This window comes from Homo sapiens, chromosome 8, assembly GCF_000001405.40.
Source record: "Homo sapiens chromosome 8, GRCh38.p14 Primary Assembly".
NCBI lineage: Eukaryota > Metazoa > Chordata > Mammalia > Primates > Hominidae > Homo > Homo sapiens.
The window spans coordinates 42,150,638-42,171,604 of NC_000008.11; the positions used below are offsets into that span (position 1 = coordinate 42,150,638).

The 20,967-nt window shown below is 42.6% G+C and overlaps 1 protein-coding gene across 3 annotated transcripts, besides 2 other annotated features; it reads left to right on the plus strand.

Annotated features, from left to right (window-relative positions):
• Positions 1,382–1,501: an enhancer, noted in NCBI's record as "active region_27299". NCBI's record gives its function as "activates an Ori minimal core promoter by ATAC-STARR-seq in GM12878 lymphoblastoid cells {active_cell/tissue: GM12878}" and the evidence as "EXISTENCE:reporter gene assay evidence [ECO:0000049][PMID:35858748]".
• Positions 2,332–2,941: a silencer, noted in NCBI's record as "silent region_19153". NCBI's record gives its function as "represses an Ori minimal core promoter by ATAC-STARR-seq in GM12878 lymphoblastoid cells {active_cell/tissue: GM12878}" and the evidence as "EXISTENCE:reporter gene assay evidence [ECO:0000049][PMID:35858748]".
• On the plus strand, positions 2,426–20,546 carry AP3M2 (adaptor related protein complex 3 subunit mu 2). Of its 3 annotated transcripts, NM_001134296.2 has the most exons (10): positions 2,426–2,468; positions 3,841–3,899; positions 3,979–4,323; positions 7,304–7,475; positions 11,644–11,781; positions 14,434–14,519; positions 14,790–14,923; positions 16,527–16,734; positions 17,029–17,173; positions 18,324–20,546. In NM_001134296.2, the coding sequence occupies exons 3-10, from the start codon at positions 4,051–4,053 to the stop codon at positions 18,422–18,424; spliced, it is 1,257 nt and encodes a 418-aa protein (NP_001127768.1). In that variant the 5' UTR covers positions 2,426–2,468; positions 3,841–3,899; positions 3,979–4,050; the 3' UTR covers positions 18,425–20,546. The 3 variants fall into 3 exon arrangements, with proteins under 3 accessions (NP_001127768.1, NP_006794.1, XP_047277231.1); NM_006803.4 differs by lacking the exon at positions 3,841–3,899; XM_047421275.1 differs by lacking the exons at positions 2,426–2,468; positions 3,841–3,899; positions 3,979–4,323 and adding an exon at positions 5,417–6,235.

Genomic DNA, 20,967 nt, shown 5'->3' on the forward strand with positions numbered 1-20,967 from the left:
CCCTATAGTTAACTCTTCTGCCTTCTTCAAATCTTTGCACTAATGTCTCTTCTCAATGAGGCTTGTTCTCACTACTCTCTTAAAAACTGTAATTTGCCCTCCAATCCCATAACACTCCTGGTAGTTTTTTTTTATTGCACATGCCATCTTATAACCTACTATATACTTTACTTATGTATATTGATTATTATCTGTCTTTTCCCCACTAGAATATAAGCCTCACTAGGACAGGGTTTTTTTTTTTTTTTTTTTTTTTTTTTGAGACAGAGTCTCACTCTGTCGCCCAGGTTGGAGTGCAGTCGTGCGATCTTAGCTCACTGCAACCTCTGCCTCCTGGGTTCAAGCGATTCTCCCGTCTCAGCCTCCTGAGTAGCTGGGACCACAGGTACGTGCCATCACGCCTGGCTAATTTTTTAATTTTAGTAGAGACAGGGGTTCATCATGTTGGCCAGGCTGGTCTTGAACTCCTGACGTCAAGTGATCCGCCCACCTCAGCCTCCCAAAGTGTTGGGATTACAGGCGTAAGCCACCGCGCCCAGCTCCAAGAGATTTTTGTCTTTTGTTTACTGGTGTTATGTATCCAAGCACTGGAACAGTGCCTGGCGCATGGTAGGGCTCACTAAATATTTATGGAATGGTACTTACAAATTATAAAACACAGTGTATGGCACACAGTGTTTTATAAATATTAACATTTCCAAGGTTCACAACCACTAGGCTCCCTACTTACCTTTCCAGCCTGATCTCCCTGCGCTCTTCCTACCATTCCAGCTCAGCTATACTTAACTTGCTCATCTGCAGAGCCTTCCTTATGTACTTTTTTCTCTGTCCATCTATCCCTGCATTTGAGGGATCCTTTCTCATTTTCAGGTTTCAAGGTAGAGGGTCTTCCCTGACTCTAGGTCAGCCATCTCTACAGCACTCCTCCCACCCCCTATGCGTTCCTTATTCATCACACTGCATTGCAATCCCTTGCTTCTCATTTGTCTTTCCTGCTGGGCCCTGTAACCACAGGGACAATGCCTGTGACAGCAGTCATTGCAGCATCTCCAGCATCCAGCACAGGTCGATACGTGGGGGTTTTCGGCAAATGTTAATTCAGTGAATGAATGAGAAATTCTCACGGCAGCGACTGCATTTCTGCACCTTCGACACACATTATCACGTGTTATTGTATCTTGTGCTGTTCCTTAGGGCATAACAATTGCTAGCATTTTCTAACTCAATCCTCACAACTCTAGGAGGGAGGTACTATTCACGTTCTTATTTGAGAAGTGAGGAACTTGAAGTTTAGAGGAGTTACAGTTCTTTCTCACGGTCACTCAGGTTGTAAGTGTTGGAGCGGGTTCAAGCCAAGTCCTCTGGCACCAGCGTCCCTAAGCCCACCCAGAGTCATACCATTCTGCCATTTTGTTTCTGGCTTTTCTTCATAGTTCAAAGTCAGCCAACTACCTGCCCTTAGCAAGCGTGGAGAGAACCCCCCGCACCACCTCAGCAAAGGGCTTGTGTGTGGAGGAGCTGCCACCCACGCTCCATTTCACCAAAGTGACAACTAATGCTAGGGAGGGCGAACCTCTCATCGGCGAGGTCGCCACTGTCACCAGCGCCCACTGCTGGGTCCAAGGCTGGCGACGCCTCACCGCATCTGGGCTTGACTTCCTGCGTCACTGGGGCGACCCCTGGTCCTGACTTCCACTCCACGCCTTCGTGGATCAGGACGACTGGGACCACTCAAAAGCGTATCCAAGTCCTGAGGTCTCCAAAGCGGTGGAGAGACCCGCCCAGCCCCTCACTCCCCGGCTGGGAACTGAGATTGTGGAGGGTGGGCGCCCTGCCGCGGCCCAGTGGGGCTGGGGGCTTCCAGAGTCGGGGTCCAGGGCTCGGTGTCCGAGACTCCACCGCCAGCCGCGCCGACCTGACCCACGGCCGGGTACAACAGAGAAGGCGGCGCTTCCCAAAGGCACCGATGGAGTGCAGGGTAGCCGCCGCCCTCAGGATTTATCAACCGCGAGGCGCTGTCAGCAACTCGTGCCCGGAAGCCACCCCGCCCCGGCACACACATACTCCAGCGCCCCCTCCAGGCGCACTCCGCAAACACGCGAGCGCGGCGACCGCCCCAGCCCTTTGTGACTGGATGAGTGGGGCCGAGCAGCACGCACTGTCTTCGACCTCCAATCAGGACTCGGGGTCTCGGAGCTGTACCAATCGGAGATGACCGTGGCCTCAACAGGGCCAATCGGGGGACTCGAGCCCGACAACAGGGCAAGCCGCCAACAGCGATCAATCAGAGGGGAGGAGCGGCTCCCAGATACCCAATCAGCGGCCTTCAGGCGCAGATCGTGGGCGGAGCGGTAGCCAGGCCGCGGGCCGGCCAATCAGCGGGCGAGCGGCTGCCTCAGCGCGCGCGGCGGGCGGGGCGGGGCCTGTCCGCGCCTAGGAGCAGTGGGCGCTGAGAGCAGCAAGGCCAGGTGAGGAGTAGGGACGACCCCGAGCCTGGAGAGGGGGCAGGAGTGGGGGCGCGCGAGGGTCGGGGCGGGGTCTCAGGATGCAGCCGGGCGGCCTCTCAGGGCTGCGGACGCGGCGGGGAGAGGTGAGGGGCCGGGTTCAGAGTTCGGGGAGGGCGTCCTTCCCGGCGCCGCGGCTGCGGGCGGAGGGGACACTGTTGCCATGGCAGCGCACGTGCGCTCGCTGGCGCGGCCCGGCACCCCTGCGCTCTTCACCCCGGAACGCGCGTGCCCCTTCAGCCAGGCCCCTGCCCGCCTGCGCCCCGCGGCCTCCGTCGCCGCCGGCTCTGGGCCGGGGCCTGCGCAGGGACCGCCTGCCTAGGCCGCTGCCTCTCCCTCGCACCCCGGGCTGCCTGGCTGTCTCTCCCTCCTGCTGTCTCCTCCAGGCGGCGCTGGGCACCGCAGGCCTCTGCGTTTTGACCACCCGCGCCGGTTCGCGGAATGGCCACATCCTGGCGACTGGCACCAGAGAGATGCAACCGTCTGAGGGCCTTGGGGTGTCTGTCCCCCAGGGAAATTTTTTTTTTTTTTTGGAGGTGGAGGGGGCGGGGTTCTCCCTCTGTTGCCCGGGCTGATCTCGAACTCGTGAGCTCCAGCGGTCTGCCCGCGGAGGCCTCCCTAAGTACTGGGATCACAGGCGGGAGCCCCAAGGGATCTTTTTAAATGTCTTACTGCATTAACAAGTGCCTAAGGAGTGCTCAGAGAATAGCTCTGATTGGATGAATAAAGACCCCCAAGGGCAGCTTTCCATTCCTCCCACCAATTCTGGTGGGCAGAAATAGAAAGCAAACCACATATGTAATTGTACATGTTCTGGTAACCACTTTAAAATAATAAAACAGGTTAAATTAATTTTAATATATTTGATTTAACCCAGGATATCCAAAATGTTATTACAACATATAATCAATATTAAATTATTGGTAAGATATTTGAAATTTTTTTTTTCATGCAAAGCCTTTCAGATTTGTCGTGTGTCTTACACTTAACAGCACACCTCAGTCCGCACCAGCCACCTTTCAAGTGCTCGCTGGTCCCATAGTGGCTATCGTATTAAGCTGCGCATTTCTTGTGTATGTGTGAGCTGTTGCCAAAACATGACATCAAATTCAGTGTTCTTGGAAGCCCTCTTCAAAGAACACTGATTGTGTTGCAGTCAGGCAACGCAAAACATGAGGCACGGCCCTTTTCTTCAAGGAGTTTGCGGTTCGGTTGAGAAAATAGACACCCACAGATAAGTAGTATTTTAAATGGATGCAATTTGGGCGATAGTAAAGATAACTGGGAGTATATGATTGACAGTCAGATGACTGATCATTATCGTTTCGAATTCAAGGGAGGGCTATCTTCAGGCTCATGCAGGAGGGGAAGATTGGGCCTGGTCTTGAAAGATGGGTAAGTCTTGGACTGTTGGGAAAAGATGGGGAGGGCCTTTTGGTTGAATGGAACTGAATATCGCTGCTTTTGTTTTTAGAGTTGAAAACTTACAGAGTCCTGAGGCTTTCAGACTGAAAAAGGCTTTCTTCTGTCACTGACAATCGCCACCATGATCCATAGTCTTTTCTTGATCAACTCCTCTGGAGACATTTTCCTGGAGAAACATTGGAAAAGTGTGGTCAGCCGTTCTGTTTGTGATTACTTTTTTGAGGCGCAAGAGAGAGCTACTGAGGCAGAAAATGTGCCTCCGGTTATCCCTACCCCTCACCACTATCTCTTAAGTGTTTACCGCCACAAGATCTTTTTTGTGGCCGTGATCCAGACGGAGGTCCCCCCTCTGTTTGTCATTGAGTTTCTTCACCGAGTGGTGGACACATTTCAGGTTCGTGAATGTGGGAAAGTTCATATATGTAAACCGTAAAGTGTCTTTGTAGTCCTGTTTCCATTGTGTAAAGCCTCCATTAAGAAACTTAAAAAAAAAAATCAAAACTCTGGTATTACTCACTTCCTCTCCCATCTGATAAGATTCTGGTTTCTATTTATTGAATTGGCTGCATGCAAAATGACAAATGGAATACTTTTGAACCTCTTGCGTGGGAAAGTCATCCTATTTGCGATGACTATATATAGCCTTTCTAGCTCTGATTCTACTTTTTGCTCACAAATTAGAGTTTAGATTGTTTTTGCCTGGTGGTCTTGATCCTAACCATTGTTATCTGCATTGCTTTGAGTTGCATCAGAAAGTGATTGTATAAAGTTTTAGAAAAGAAAAAGTAGAAAAAGCTAAGGAATGCTTAATTTAACTCTCCCAGTCAGGGGTAACTCATGAACCTGTACTAGTTCTCAGGTTTGAGGTGGTTCTTTATAGTGAGAGAGTGGTACTGATGAGCTCTGCTTGCAAAGATGAGATTGGGAAATCTCATGTGCCTGTAAGAATTTAAGTGAGCCATTTTATGAGGCAGTTTTCATTTTAAGCTTTTTCTTCAGGAATAGATGTTAAGAACTTAGGGGGTGATGTCCAAGGGAGGTCAGTGATACCAGGACACGACACCATTTGCAGCACAGGAGTTCAGACAGCACCGGCCCTGGATTCACACAGAGGAACTTTCTCCCAAAAGAACCAATCAACTTCTAACTGTTGTGGTTATTTGCATAACTCAAATGAGAAGCGAGGGCCTTTTGGTTTAACTTCTGTGTCATATGAGGTCTGGAATGAGTCATATGAACACTGGAATTGTGGAATTGGAGAAGAGAATGAGGACCCACACACTATGATAAAAGTTAAAAAGCAAGTCAAAGAGTTCCTTCTCTTGTACTCATATCTGCACCACGTCTAGAACAACTTCCCTTCCCAAGAGAATTAAAATACATTTTTTGTTTTTCCCTGCAATACTCTGTAGTACTACTGTTCTGGAATTTCAGTTCTCATGCAACATACCGGCCCCTTTGCACAGTGAAAACGTAAGTATAAGTCCCAGTATGTGGAAGAACTAGAAGAACCCAGGAGTTGTGATCCTAAACAACTTTTAACTGGGCCTTGTTATGATTTCCACGTGTGATACTTTACTCATTCTGAGATTAACAGTCGCACTGGTGAAACTGACAGCCGCTATATGGCCATACTAATGTAACTTATTACAAGACAGGAAGTGAGAAGAGTTGTTTGATCTAGTTGAAACCATGGGGGAATTTGGGAAAGCAGAGTAAATTTGCTAATTTGGAAGTCTGAGACTTCAGAGCTTGTTATTCTTGAAGCAGTTGTTAAAAGTCAGTGGACATCCTGATTCTCAGGTCTCCGATGTGGATGTGCATCCTCTCCGGCAGCATGATTTTTCCAGGACCAGAATGTGACAGGAGCGGCCCCGCAATAGAATTGCAGGCTCACAGGCCGGCTGCAGCACTTGGCTGTATTGCGAGGCTCCTTTCCAGCTGCTTAGTTCACATGATGCCTGGTTTATAAAACCTAGTGAAGTGTTTTATTTTTTAAAAATAAATCACTTTTGGGAAGGAAATGTGTGACTTTTTCTTCTTTTAAATTATCATTCAAAATGAGAATTTTCCTCTTAAAGAGGAAATCTTTTTGTTTTAGGAATACATTCCTGACTCTTAGGTGACCCGGGTATTGGAATCTTGTGGATAATTGACGTTATCTAATGTAATTTAGACTCTAGTAGAGTCTGTTCAGTTTTGGATGTCAAAGAAATGGAAAGATGGTGAAACAACCTGGAAACCATACCTTATCATGAACAGCGGAAGTATCTTGAAAGTGTGGCCCTGAGAAGAAAAAAACTGAGGTGAAAACTCGTAGTTTTCAGATAATTGCAGGGCTGTTATGTACACTTGCTCTGCAAAACAGAGCTAGGAGGCAAATTTCAGTTTAGCAAAAGAAAGAACTTTGGAATGATCAGAGCCATTCATGAATAGAATGGACTTTCTCAAAAGGAGTAAATTTTCCTTCATTCTATGAGTTCAAGAGGGTTGCATGACCCTCTCAGAGGTCCTGGAAAAGACATACTGACATTGCTGGAAGGGAACATTGAATAGCCACAAACATTTCTTGCTAAATAATGATCACGCATTCCATTTTGTAGTGCTTTATAGTTTACAAAGTACATTCATGAGCGTTAGTGTTTAATTAGTCATGCCTAATTCTTACAGCCCTGTACCTCCAGTGGTGTTATCCTGATTATACCATTAAAGAATCAAGATCAAAATTAATTAACATGACTTAATCTACAAATGACAAAATTATAATCCAGGTCTTCTGGTTTGAAATCCAGTGCTTTCCCACAATGCAGATAATTTAGCACCTAACGTTAGCCTTTTAAATAAAAGGACAAAGAGTTCTTGGAATGCTAGCGTCTTAAAGATAGTCCAAAGGAATTTTCAGGTGTGCTAGCTTGTCCCCTTCATTTCATTTTTTTCCCCTCAACTCTTATTCACTGCATGAATGTTAAGAAATAGCACAGCAGTAGGGGTAAAGATTTTCATGTACTGTTCTTTGTTATATCAAGTATTATTTTGTATAATTCTTTCAAATTCTTGTTGATAAGCACATAATCAAGATTCAATTTTGTATTCTGTGTATTTTATCAAGTTGAGGAAATTAACCCAAAAGATTTAAGTTCCTCTTGTTTGTAGAAGAAGCTAGTAATGACAGTAGTACCATAAGCCAGTCTAGTGCTTTCTACCAAACAGACTGCCTAAGAGAACTATGGTTATGCTGCATTCCCTCGTTGTAGAAGAGTAGCCCAGAAACACATGGACAGGCCAGATCCTTATTCTCTGTAGGCACATTCTTTTATTTATTTATTTATTTTACAGTATCTGAGTGATCAATGTGTATATTCTGTCTCCATCAGGATTATTTTGGAGTCTGTTCAGAGCCAGTGATCAAAGACAATGTAGTTGTGGTTTATGAGGTATTGGAAGAGATGCTTGACAATGGTTTTCCATTGGCTACCGAGTCGAACATTCTTAAAGAACTCATAAAGCCTCCTACCATCCTTCGAACGGTTGTCAACACCATCACAGGTACGGCAGAGGGGGAAACTGATAGATAGTGGCCATCCTACAGCCTGAGTGGCTTAGTCGAGTGTCGCACATTGTTTTGAGTGTTTGTCTTTGGGGATCTCAGGTGTCCCAGTGCTTTAATTTTGCTCTTTGTAGTTGTTTTTTTTTTTTTTTTGAGACAGAGTCTCCCTCTGTCACCCAGGCTGGAGTGCAGTGGCGTGATCTTGGCTCACTGCAACCTCCGCCTCCTGGGTTGAAGTGATTCTCCTGCCTCAGCCTCCCGAGTAGCTGGGATTACAGGCATGCACCATCACACCCAGCTAATTTTTGTATTTTTAGTAGAGATGGTGTTTCACTATGTTGGCCAGGCTGGTCTTGAACTCCTGGCCTCAGGGGATCCACCTGCCTCGGCCTCCCAAAGTGCTGGGATTACAGGTGTGAGCCACCGCGCCTGGCCCCTCTTGTAGACTGAGTACAACCTGAAATAATATTTTTGCTTTGTGGAAAATACCCTGATTTTAATGACAAAATGAAGTGTTCTTTAAAAATATTTTTTTCTGATTACAGAAGAAACACATGATTATTGTAGAAACTTCAGAAATACAGAAAAGCACAAAGAATGCAAAAATTGCTTTTAATCCCACCACACTTTTAACATGTGATATTTTATGAACATTATCCCATGATGATGTCTTCTACATGGTTCTTTTTTTTTTTTTTGAGATGGCGTCTTGCTCTGTTGCCCAGGATGGAGTGCAGTGGTGCGATCTCAACTCACTGCAACCTCCGCCTCCCAGGCTCAAGCGATTCTCCTACCTCAGCCTCCCGAGTAGCTGGGATTACAGGCACACGCCACCATGCCCAGCTAATTTTTGTATTTTTTAGGAGAGATGGGGTTTCATCATGTTGACTATGCTGGTCTCTAATGCCTGACCTCAAGTGATCCACCCACCTTGGCCTCCCAAAGTTCTGGGATTACAGGTGGGAGCCACTATGCCTGGCCTTCATTTTTAATAATTTATAGTTTTCTTCCATGTGGAGTGGACCCAAAGTTACGTACTGAATCCCTATTTATGATGTTACTGATTTTTGTTCTTTTAAATAACAAGGATTACCATTCTTACACTTGAACCTTGGTGCACATCTGGGATGATTTCTTTAAAGTAGTAGAGGTAGCAATGCTGTGTCAAGGGGTGTATACATTTTAAGTACTGTAATGTGTTGCTCTCCAGAAAAGTTAGGCCAATTTATACTTTCAGTAACAATTTCAAAGCACTGTAGTGAACCCTGTTATTGTCATTAATAATTTTTTAGAAACATTGGCAATTTGATAGTTTATTGATATCTTGTATTTACAGTCATTTTTTGTTATTAAGGAGACTAAAATCTTTTCAAGTATTTATTGACTGTTTTTCCTCTATTGTGAATTACCTTTTCATGTCCTTTGTTCATTTTTTTGTTGTTGAAATGTATTTCTTTTTTCATGTGGATTTAAAATCTCTTTTATGGGAGATCTTTATGTCTTTTGATTACTGCATTACAGATATTTTCTTACAGTCTATCACTTGTGATTTAGCTTTGTTCTGGTGGTGTTTAGCCACATTTTAAATGTTTTGATTTAATCAAATTAATCATTCTTTTCATTAAGGTTTTACATTTTGGGTCTTGTTTAATGCATAAGCAAGCATTTTCATGGAATTTTATAAACTGATTGAAAAATACATTTTAAAAGTATAAATATTGCAAGAATAGCCAGGACAGTTTTGGAAAAGAATTACAAAGGGGTTGTTGGGAGGATTTGCCCTGTCAAATATCACGACACGTTAAGTTTGTATAGTACACAAGACAAATATTCATACAGTAGACATCCTACAAGACCCAAGAGAGTTTTGAAAATAATATTTTTAAAAAGAGGAAAGATAAAATGTGTCCTACCAGATATCAGATATATTACAGGTTTAACATCCCAAATCCAAAATCCAGAATGCTCTACAATCCAAAACTTTTTGGATACTGACATGACACTCAAAGGAAATGCTCATTGGAGGATTTCAGATTTTTGAATTTGGGATGCGCAACTGGTATAATCCAGATATTCCAAAATTTAAAAAAATACAAAATTTGAAACATTTCTGGTCCTGAACATTTCAGGTAAAGATTACTCAATCTGTATGAAGTTTGGGTAGTTTTTAAAATTTGGTATTTGTCTGTAACAGACAGATAGGTCATTGGGATAAAATAGTCCAGAAACAGACCCTTGCTTTTATAGGAATTTGGTGTAGATAGATGTGGTCATTTATCAAATCAGTGGACCAGGGGCTGGTTGTTAACTATATTGTATTAGGGCAGTCAGCTTCAATATGGAAAAAATTAAGTCCCTCCACTTCACACTATACACAAAATAAAGTCTAGCTAGGTTAAGGAGTTAAACACAGACTTTATAATTATTAGACAAAAACAGGAGAATGTCTTTTTGATCTCAGAGAAGGGAAGATCTTTTTTAAAAGTCTAGTTTGTGATTTTATTTTTGGATTTAATTATTTAATCCATTTGAAAATTATCTTGGTGTGCAATAATGTTTATTTCTTCAAGAGTTTTCCTAGCACCATTGTGTAATTTATCCTTTTCCCCTGTTTTAGAATGACATTTCTATCTTGTCCTGTCATTATGGATTCTTGGTCTGTTTTTAGGCTTTCCTGCCTTTTCCCTAGACTGCTTTGATTATTATATCTTGATGATACATTTTAATACATAGTTCCTCTTTTTAAGGAAACAAATTTGGTGGTTTCTTCAATATTCTGAGTTCATTTTAAGCCTTAAAAGCTTTGTTAGTGCCTGAATCATTTACGAATATTATGAAGTGAGTTAAGCCTGTATCTCACTTTAATCTAGAAAAGGGTATCTAAGAACCACTTTTGAAAAGTTGAAATGGGCCTGACATATTGGCTCATGCCTGTATCCAATACTTTAGGAGGCTGAGGCGGGAGGATCACTCATGCACAGGAGTTCGAAATCAGCCTGGGCAACTTGATGAAACCCTGTCTTTACAAAAAATACAAAAATTAGCCAAGCATGGTGGTGCATGCCTGTGGTCCCAGCTACTCTGAAGGCTAAGGTGGGAGGATCACTTGAGCCCAGGAGGTCGAGGCTGCAGTGAGTTATGATTGTGCCTGTGAATAGCCACTGAACTCCAGCATGGGCAACATAGGAAAACCCTATCTCTTAAAAAAATTTTTTAGGTGGGCATGGTGGCTCACATCTGTAATCCCAGCACTTTGGGAGGCCGAGTTGGGTGGATCATTAGGTCAGGAGTTCAAGACCAGCCTGGCCAACATAGTGAAACCCCGTCTCTACTAAAAATACAAAAATTAGCCGGATGTGGTGGCACGCGCCTGTAGTCCCAGCTACTCGGGAGGCTGAGGCAGGAGAATTGTTTGAACCCGGAAGGCAGAGGTTGCAGTAAGCCAAGACTGCACCACTGTACTCCAGCCTGGGCGATAGAGCGAGACTCTATCTAAAAAAAATTTTGTTTAAAGACAGAAAATAAAAGGATCCAGGTAATGGAAGAAGGAAATAGAATTTAAATTAATGTATTTTATTATGTCAGTATAAAACCTTTTAAATTAAAAAAAGTTTATGCCTGTAAAGGAAAAAACAAGTGAAGGAATTGATCTACAATTCTTAAAGACAGGGAGAGATCAACTTTGTGTTCTTTTCCTAAGTTTCAGTGTTGGAACTTGGGAATGAGACAGATCATATTGATATGTACATTTTAGTACCTACCATAAATGTACCTAAGAACCTATCTCAGGCTCAAATACTGTTTTTACCCATGAAATTTTTATATCAATATGTAGATTACGAACTCTACTGAAAGCCAATACATTATTTAAGCTGCATCTGAGATACTAAGTTCAGGTTACTTTCAAAACCAAAATATGATATCTGTTTCTCAGGTAACTTTTTCTTAAACCTTTATTCTGTTTGAAAAGGCAGACCAGATGGCAACAAGGGGTTTTAAAAATAGACTAGGTTACCCCATATAGAAGTTGGGAAAAACCTCATCTTCTGTTTGAAAAATTCTTCAATTGAGTGCATGAATAGTGGGAGCATAGAAACTTCTAGGGAGGTGTTCTGTGGTTTCTAGAGTCAAAATGGTGTTAAAATACAGTAATATTAATTGCCTCAGGAAGCACGAATGTGGGTGACCAGCTTCCCACTGGGCAGCTGTCAGTGGTGCCTTGGCGACGGACTGGGGTGAAATATACCAACAATGAGGCCTATTTTGATGTGATTGAAGAGATTGATGCAATTATTGATAAATCAGGTAGGTGCTTTTAATATGTTCTCAGAAATATGAAAATAGAAAGGGACCTCTTTCATATAATGCTTGTAGTTTCAGAATTAACCCCCATTCAAGGTCATCCACTTCAATTTAGTGCCTACTTTGTGCCAGGCACTGTGCTGGGTACTGGGAATGGACGTTAATATTATGATGCAGACCAGGGTTTATTTCATATGTTTACTTGCTTTATTGGTCTTATCCTCTTGAATAAAAAAGAGAAGTAACAGGCCAGATGTAGTGACTCACGCCTGTAATCCCAGCACTTTGGAAAGCTGAGGCGGGAGGATTGCTTGAGCCCAGGAGTTTAAGACCAGCCTGAGCAACATAGTGAGACCCCATCTCCACAAAAAGTGAAAAAAATTACCTGAGCATAGTTGTGCATGCCTGTATTCCTAACTTTGTGAGGGGCTGAGGTAGGAGGATTGCTTGAGCTTGGGAAGTTGAGGTTGCAGTAAGCCCTGATCATGACACTGCACTCCAGCCTGGGCAACAGCAAGACCCTGTCTCAAAAAAAAAAAAAAAAAAAAAAAAAAAAGTAACAAATTAATTTCTTATTGATTAAATTACCTTCTCGAAAGTATTTGGCTCCCAGTTCTGATGGCAGAACTAAAGTTGTAATCACAAAATTCAGGGAGCTGCCTTTTCTATGTGTTCTGAATTAGGTAAATATGACTAGAAGTCCTGGAGCTTCAGAATTTGTAGAAGCCAGTCATGATGGTATGAGCCTATAGTCCCAATTATTGGGAGGCTGAGGTGAGAGGATCACTTAAGCCCAGTAGTTGGAGACTGCGGTGAGCTATGATTATGGCTGTGAATAATAGCTGCACTCTAGCCTGGGCAACATAGTGAGATCCTGTCTTTAACTAAAGAAAAAAAATTGTAAAAAGTCCTTTTCACATTAGTGAACTTATTAAATTCAACAGATGTTTACTGAAAACTTGCATCATAGCACAGTGCTAGATAGTGGGCACTTGATGATGAATAAGACATAGTCTATGGCTGCAGAAGTTAAGTCTAGTGAGGGAGAGAGAAAGGTAAAAAGGTAGAGCATATGAGAGGTACCCACCCCTGAGCAAAGTGCAACAGAGAGGTGGGGGTGTTTATGCTTCATCAGTGGATTGAAATGAAGTTATTAAGATGTGTGGATTTGGGAGCAAAGTATGCGCAAACATCACAATATTGAGCAAAAAATCAGATGCATAAGATTATAGACAGTGGGATTACATGTATATGAAGTTTGAAAACAGATGCAATTTAGTCTAAGGTAATAGAAGTCAGAATTTTGGGGATGTGAATTACCTGGGATGGGTAAGAGGGAGTGCTTGGATGCTGAAAATGTTCCGTATCTTGCTGTAGCTAGTATTTGCATAAATGTATATATATTTAAAAATTCATTGAGCTGTACACTTTAAGATTTTTACATTTTACTGTTTACCTCAACGAAAAAGTAAAATATATATGGCCAGATCATGAAGAACCTTGCCTGCCAGTTTAAGGAGGGCAGATGTGAGTGATTGAAGAGTTTTAAGTTGGGAATGACTTGATGAGACTTGTAGTTTAGAGCGATGAGTCTGGCTGCTGTGTGAAGAATGGCCTGAAGTGGGGTGGGCCTGAAGGCAGGGAGCAGCTACGAGGCTGAAATCCAGGCCCAAAACATAGATGTCCATAGTGCAATGAGGACAGAGAGGAATGCACAGACCAGAGAGAGGTGAGTCCTCGAAAAGAAAGGAGCTGATCATTGGCTGGATGTGGGCGGGAGAAGTGGACGTTGTCAGGGATGCATCTGTGTTTCTGGCTTAGGCAGCAGGATAGATGGTGCCATCACACAGATTTGGAAATGGGAGCACCGGGTTCAGGGCATGAGAGAATGGACTCATTTCTGACATGTGCCTCAGTGTCATCCAAGTGGAGATGTCCATTAGGCAGGAGTGGGGCTGAACTTGAAAAAAGAATAGGTAATAATGGGCTGTAAATGAACATTGAAGCCTTGGGAAGTAGGTAAAATAACCCAGGAGAGTGTGTAAAGTGAAAGAAAATAGAAGTTCAGAACTGAAAAAGCATTTAAGGGATGTGCAAAGAAAGAGAACCTGCCGAAGACACTGAGGAAGAGGAGCTGGGAAAATAGGACACCAGGAGAGGTTAGGAGGGAGGGATGTTTGAGAAGGCAGAAGTGATTGACAGTGACACATGCCACATAGAGGATGTATAGAATAAGAGACTGGGAGTGACCACTCACTTTAGCAGCAGAGCTCATTGGTGACCTTAGGGAGAACAGTTTCTGATAGGAAACTTTCTGAACCATTGGCTAAAATAATGATGCTCTGTTTAATTCTGATATTAGACTGACAACTCCTTTAGGCTAATAACTACTTCATTAATCTTTTTATCACCGTTACCTCACCATAGTGTCTCATGCTTGATGTGCAGTTGATAAGTGTTCAGAATGATGGATAGATGGATTGTATAAATGAATTGGATGGCTAGGCAGAAGGAAAGAAAGGGAGAGAGAGGAAGGGGAGGGAGAGAGAGGAAGGTGAGGGAGAGAGGAAGAGAAGGAGGGAGGAGATAAGTTTGTTGAGAAGGACAGAGAAGTATTCAGTAATCTGTGTTCTTTTTGTCTTATTCCTGTCTCAGGCTCCACAATTACTGCTGAGATCCAGGGGGTGATTGATGCCTGTGTCAAGCTGACTGGCATGCCAGACCTTACACTTTCCTTCATGGTAAAATCCTGGGCCAGAGATTAAGTTCTTGGGATGAGAAATTAAATGCTGCTGGAAAGACAGAGTAGTGGGAATGGAATAGAACAAGAAGAAATAATTAGGACAGCCACGAAGCTTGTCTCAGGCTTGAATTTTCTAGAAGTCACTACATGATTTCTGTGTGTGTGTGTGTGGTGTGTTTTAATTAAAAACAGCATTTAAATTGCTTTCCTGAAAGCACTGCGGGTGTTTAATGCCCACTTCTTGCTTCTCCTCTCCTGATGACTGTAGAACCCTAGGTTGTTGGATGATGTCAGCTTCCATCCTTGTGTTCGTTTCAAACGCTGGGAATCTGAGCGCATCCTCTCCTTCATCCCTCCTGATGGAAACTTCCGCCTGCTGTCTTACCATGTCAGTGCACAGAAGTAAGCAGCTCTTATAATTAAGAATGGAATCCGTGTATGTACATGTATGTGGAAACCGTATCTGTGGTGATTAAGAACTCAGGCTCTAGAGTTACCTGGGTTCACATTCCAGCTTCTGTGGTTACTAATTGGGTAACCTCAGGTGAGTTGCTTAACCCCTATGTATCTCTTTTCTCATCTGTAAATTGAAAATAATAAAAGTGCCTTGTTCTGAAGATTGAATAAGAGAATCTGAATAGTGCTTAACACAAAGAAGTGCTCATTAAGTTTGCTGTTATTTTTGTTGTTATGTGTCTAAACAAGAACATTATTTTCTCAAATCAGAATCTGGGCATACTGTGTTCAATGTCCCTGGTCTAAAAGAAGCATTAAGTTATGCTATGAAAAAGCATAAAACGCAGTGATTTTTGGTCTTGAACATTCTCTTTAATTTGGAATCTAAAGGCTTTTGGAAGCAGTTTTGTATAGTATAAGGTATGCAGACAGAAGAGAGTCAGGAGGCCTCAGAGCCACCAGTCCCTTCCCGTGTGATGTGGAATGAATCATTTGGGAAAATATCTGAGTGCTTGAGGTCAAAGCCTCTGGAATCAGACTCCCTGGACTTAAACCCCATCTTCAGTACTTAGAACCTTGGGCAAGTTACTTAATCTCAGTTAAGTATAAGGACATCAGTATTCATCTATAAAATCAGTACCTACTACATAGTTACAGTAGCAGTATCTACTTCATACTTATTGGGAGGATTAAACACGGTAGGAGTTAAATGGATAGAAACCATTTAGCATAGTGACTGGCAAACAGGAAGTACTCAATACATGTTAGGAACTGTTATTACTTCAGGGTTATTCCGTGACTTCTCTGAATCCTTTTCTTCTGTCAAATCATGACAGCCTACCCTACCTTATGGGGTTTTTGTAAGGACCAGATGATGTCAGATGAAAGCATTCTAAAAAAATTATAGAGACAAGAGGATCACTTGAGCCCAGGAGTTCGAGACCAGCATGGGCAACATGGCCAAACCTTGTCTCTACAAAAAAAAAAAAAAAAAAAGTAAAAATTAGCGGGGTGTGATGTTGTGTGCCTGTGGTCCCAGCTACTCAGGAGGCAGTGGTGGGAGGATCACTTGAGCCTGGTATGTCGAGGCTGCAGTGAGCTATGATCGTGCCACTGCACTCCAACCAGGCTGACCGAGCCAGACCCTATCTCAAAAAAAAAAGAAAGAAATTATAAAAGGTCCATGAGCTATGAATATTATACTCCCCAGTGCAAATGATGACTGGTCACATGTTACAAGTTAAAAACATGGAGACATAATGACAATACATTTTTGTACATTATGCCTTTGTCATAGTAGTGTACTTTTTGATTTTGTTTGTATTATTCAGAGTCATTAGAAAAGTTAATTTAGTTACTAGACAGTAGCTTTTCAAAAAGAAAAAATTAGATTACTGGGGTTTTTTTCTGTTTATTTTTTCAGATAAAAAGTAAGGACATAGTTAAGGGAGAAGAAGCTACCCACAGGGCAGAAAAAGCATCATGTGAAAGGAAGAACTACCATTTTCCCAGTGCACGAATGAAATGACTCTTTGTCTCTCATTTCCAGTCTGGTTGCAATCCCAGTGTATGTCAAACATAACATCAGTTTCCGGGACAGTAGTTCCCTTGGACGCTTTGAAATAACGGTGGGACCCAAGCAGACGATGGGGAAGACCATTGAGGGAGTGACTGTCACCAGCCAGATGCCCAAGGGGGTCCTGAACATGAGCCTTACTCCATCACAGGGGACACACACATTCGACCCAGTCACAAAGGTAGGGATGAGCAGGACATCTTGAATTGCTGATGTTAAGCAGAAACCAGTCTGCAGGTTCTCTGTGTAGACTCTAGACCTTGTTTGGAAGGTGAGATGAGTCAAAGGGACCTTGTTTTCTCCTGCCAGGTAACTTAACAGTAACACGTAGGATTCTCAATGGAAAGATACCCAGAGGCAGCTTATAATGTTGTGGACAGGTGCCCTGAGTTTAGATCTCAGCCACCTCAAATGCAGGATTCTGCTGTAACTATTTTTTGGAAAGACCACTTCTCCATTTTTATTTTCTTTGAAGATGCTGTCTTGGGATGTAGGAAAAATAAATCCACAAAAGCTACCAAGTTTGAAGGGGACCATGAGTCTTCAGGCTGGAGCTTCCAAACCAGATGAAAACCCCACAATTAACCTGCAGTTTAAGATCCAGCAGCTGGCCATTTCTGGTAAGTGACCCAGAGCTCAAGAGGCTCCAAAGGGAACAAAAACGGCTTTCTGCCATATGGCGCAGGCACCAGGAAGCCTTTCTGGGCTTCCTGTTTACAAGGTTTAGTTTCATTACCTGATAAACAATCTTTAGTAACATCTTTTCTGGCATGTTTCTGGGGAAAATTTACAATCCTTCCTTTGAAGTTGGCATAAGTGACCTGAATAAAAGTGCCTAAGACACACTGAGAAAGAAACAGTATTGGTAGAAGGAAGTATTCACTAGCCATTTTTGGATCATCTTAGGGTTGTTCATTTCAGGTTCCCAAGGTTTTCAGTATGAGAATCCATGTGCATTCTCAGCTATAACTGAAGTGTAATTTCCACTCCTTTCTTCTGTTTTCAGAAGACTTTCATGTTTGCTCTTATTTCTATTTTGGAACCACTGGGCCTTTCCAGGTCAGTTCACTATAGTCTGTGCCGACCTTAGCACGGTAGTCATCAGTTACCACTTTGGGGGCATTTACCATGTTCCAGGCACTGTTTTAAGCTCTTTTCATGTGTTTTCTTTTTTAATCCTTAGAAACTCTGTGATGTGGAAAGGAGATGACTTTAGCTTTATATGAAGTTTCTGTTTTTCTGTACAAACGGGCCTTATACAATTTAAGTGATTGGAATTCATTTGATGTATAAGCTCTTCAATCTTAAAACAATAAACTATAAAGCTCTATACCATATAAAATATTCTTGGCTTAGTCTAGTGAGAATACTTAGGAAGCATTCATTTATTAATTACTTTCATTGTTAATTCCTTTATTTATAATTTACTTCATTATTCATTTGTTTTGTTATTCATTTTTTCAGTCCAATAATTTGAGAAAAATCATGCAGTGGTCTAATTTTTTCCTTATCCTCATTTTAGTCTGCACATTACTTTGTACCCTTTCCACTTCAGGGACAGGTCTTCTCATAGGTAGCTTGTCTGTTGGAGCCTTTTTTTGCTGTCAGTATCTGTCCCAAGACTGGAGAATCCATCTGCTCTGCATAAGTGGTTCCCTGTCACAGCAATGTCGGTCCCACTGACTTCAGTGTATTGAACAGAAACAGTTAGGCGACCTGCTCCTTTTGAATAATACTCATGTCTATTTTCCCTCTCTCCCTCCTTTCTAGGACTCAAGGTGAATCGTCTGGATATGTATGGAGAAAAGTACAAACCCTTTAAGGGCATAAAATACATGACCAAAGCTGGGAAGTTCCAAGTTCGAACCTGAAGGGAGCATTTGCTGAGGGAATAGTCTTGCACATTTTTTCATTTCTTACTTGTCTAAAAGTAAAAAAAAATATCAGCCTGTCTCCTAGGTCAGTCCCCTCCTGGACCCACCCGCTCCCTTTTTTCCTTAGCCTTCAGTGCCATGGAACTAATCAAGGGAGGAAAAGGTCACCAGGGAGAACTGGACAGAACTGAAACACAGCAACACCAGTTCTCAAGGACAAGGTGTGTGATGGGGGTAGGAAGCTTGGTGCTTATGTAACCATTTTAAACGTGGTTTCTATAGGAAAGACCAACATTTGTTTAGCTTGCTTGGCTTTAATTATCTAAAGCCAATGAAAGACTTCTTTGTTGATTTTTTAAGATAGAAAGATTAAAAAGAAAGAAAGATGGGAAGAAAATGAATGTCAGTCAAGGAAAGGCCACTTAAGGATCTGCTCTATGAAGGAGAAGAAAGAGGAAAAAGAAGTAAAGGAGTTAGGAGGAGACACTTAAATGAAAGATTGGCAAGAAAAGCAGTCGGACTCTACCTTAAGGAGGGATGGGAAGGAAAGAGTTGAGTTGGTTTCTTTCTGATTCCTCTACTCATGTAGAAAACACTTGTACTTCTGGAAATGGACTGGAGACTTTTTAAATTTGAGTCCACTATTGACATGGAAACCCCAGTGGAATCAGATTTTCCCTCAAAGACCATGATGGTATCGGACTAGTTTTCAGACACTGCCTGTTGCTGTCCATCAGCACTTGGTCTCTTATCTTCAGTGAGAAGGTGACCCGCCTTCTTCCCATGGTGGCTGCCTAAAGTGCTTCTTTTCTAACCCAAAACAGTTCTACTCACTTCCTTTTACAGAATTCACCGGCCATTTTCCTGTTACCTGATCCTTCTACAGGATTTTTAAAAAGTAAGAGAGTTTCAGAGAAGCCGATCCCATAATCCCCAGTGCAGCCAGGGTTTGTGTGTCATCGTACTGGAGTAGAGGGCCGACTCTTCCCATGAAGGTGAGCACAGCTGTGAGTGAGTGAGCTCATATCTCCATTTGTCAGTGCTGGACTGGTACCAGATCGTAACCTTCCCGTTGGTCGGAAACTTTTCCATCTGTCGCCCTAGAAAAAGAGAAAGCTTACCATCGAGGGTGTGGTTGATCCTTGAAGCTGCTTGGTAAAGTTATCATTTCCTCAGTCTTTTCTTTTGTACTCCTATCATGTATTCATTAATATCTACCAGTCCCTTTTCATTCTAAGACAAAACATTTCTCCTAAATCTCTGAATAAAATCAGTGCTGTAGGAAGATGGACTGTGTTGATCATGGGTGTAAGCAACCCAGTTTAAGAAACATGGCAACTAAAGGGATACCTCAGGCTTTCTTTCCCAGTGGGTCATTTTTGTCCTAGTTCAGTGTGTCTGTTACTATTTAAATATTTATACAAAAGGGTTTTTGTTTATAGCTTAAGGAATGATACTGTGCTCTGCTTGGTGCATGGAGAAAAAGGAAGACCCGTACTCTCCACACCCTAGAGCTTTTCTCTAAATATTGTGCAAAGTTTTTGCTAGTTTTATCTTCTGACTTTGGGACTAGTTTTTGCTGCAGAGTTGTGTTGCTTTGTGATTTTCCTCTGGGATAGTGTACTGTACACAACCAGATGTGTTCCACACTCCGTGACTCCGCAGTTTGTCCTGGAGTGACATACACATCCACCATGGAAAGGGAAGCATCTCTGCCTGTGGATTCTCAAGTACTTGGAAGCACCTCTCCTGAGGAACCTACAGGATTCTAAGGTTTCCTAGGTCACTGAACAACTAATCTTGGTCCCTGAATATTTCTAGGTTTGTAAGTGCAGCAGTTTTATTTCCTCTAGAACTCATCCTGTTTCAAGGGAAGTACCTAAGAAGATATAGAGTGTTTCTAGGGTAAGGGACCTGCAGGTGTAAGCATAGATGAAATAACTGTCCTGTCACATGTGCAGCAGGCCATGGAGTGTAGCGGGCATCGCTGCCGCCATTCCTGCAGCATCACCATAAGCAGTGCAGGGTGTCTCCATCGAGCTGTTTGGTTCCATGTGTGTTTAACATGTGCAGAAGTAGCTTCTCTGTTTAAGTTTAATAAAGTTGAGTTTCACCAGTCTTCTATGTCCTAAGTGGTTTGTTACCAGAACTAACAACAGTGCTATGCCACTCAAACCTCAGTAGAAGCAGTGAGTAAGGAATTCATCGACTCAGGAGGATCTTACTGCTTCTGTCCTGTCTAGCCAGCAGACCTAAAGCATGTGTTTTGATCGATTCTTTGGTCACATCTGGAAGATAGCAGATGCTGATATTAATGTCATTTTTAGGGTTGTGAGCATAAGGTCCAGATCCACCTAGTTATTTTTCACCAGAGTTTTAAAAGACGAAATCGTTGAAGCTGCCGGCATTTAGTCTAGGGCTTTCCGCATTCTCTTGACCTGCTTCTCTTGTCTTGTTAATTTAGGCATGAAACGGTGTCGCAGTACTCTGGCGTCTTTATTCCAGGAGAGGCTTCTTACAAGATAAGGCACTGCGAGTCG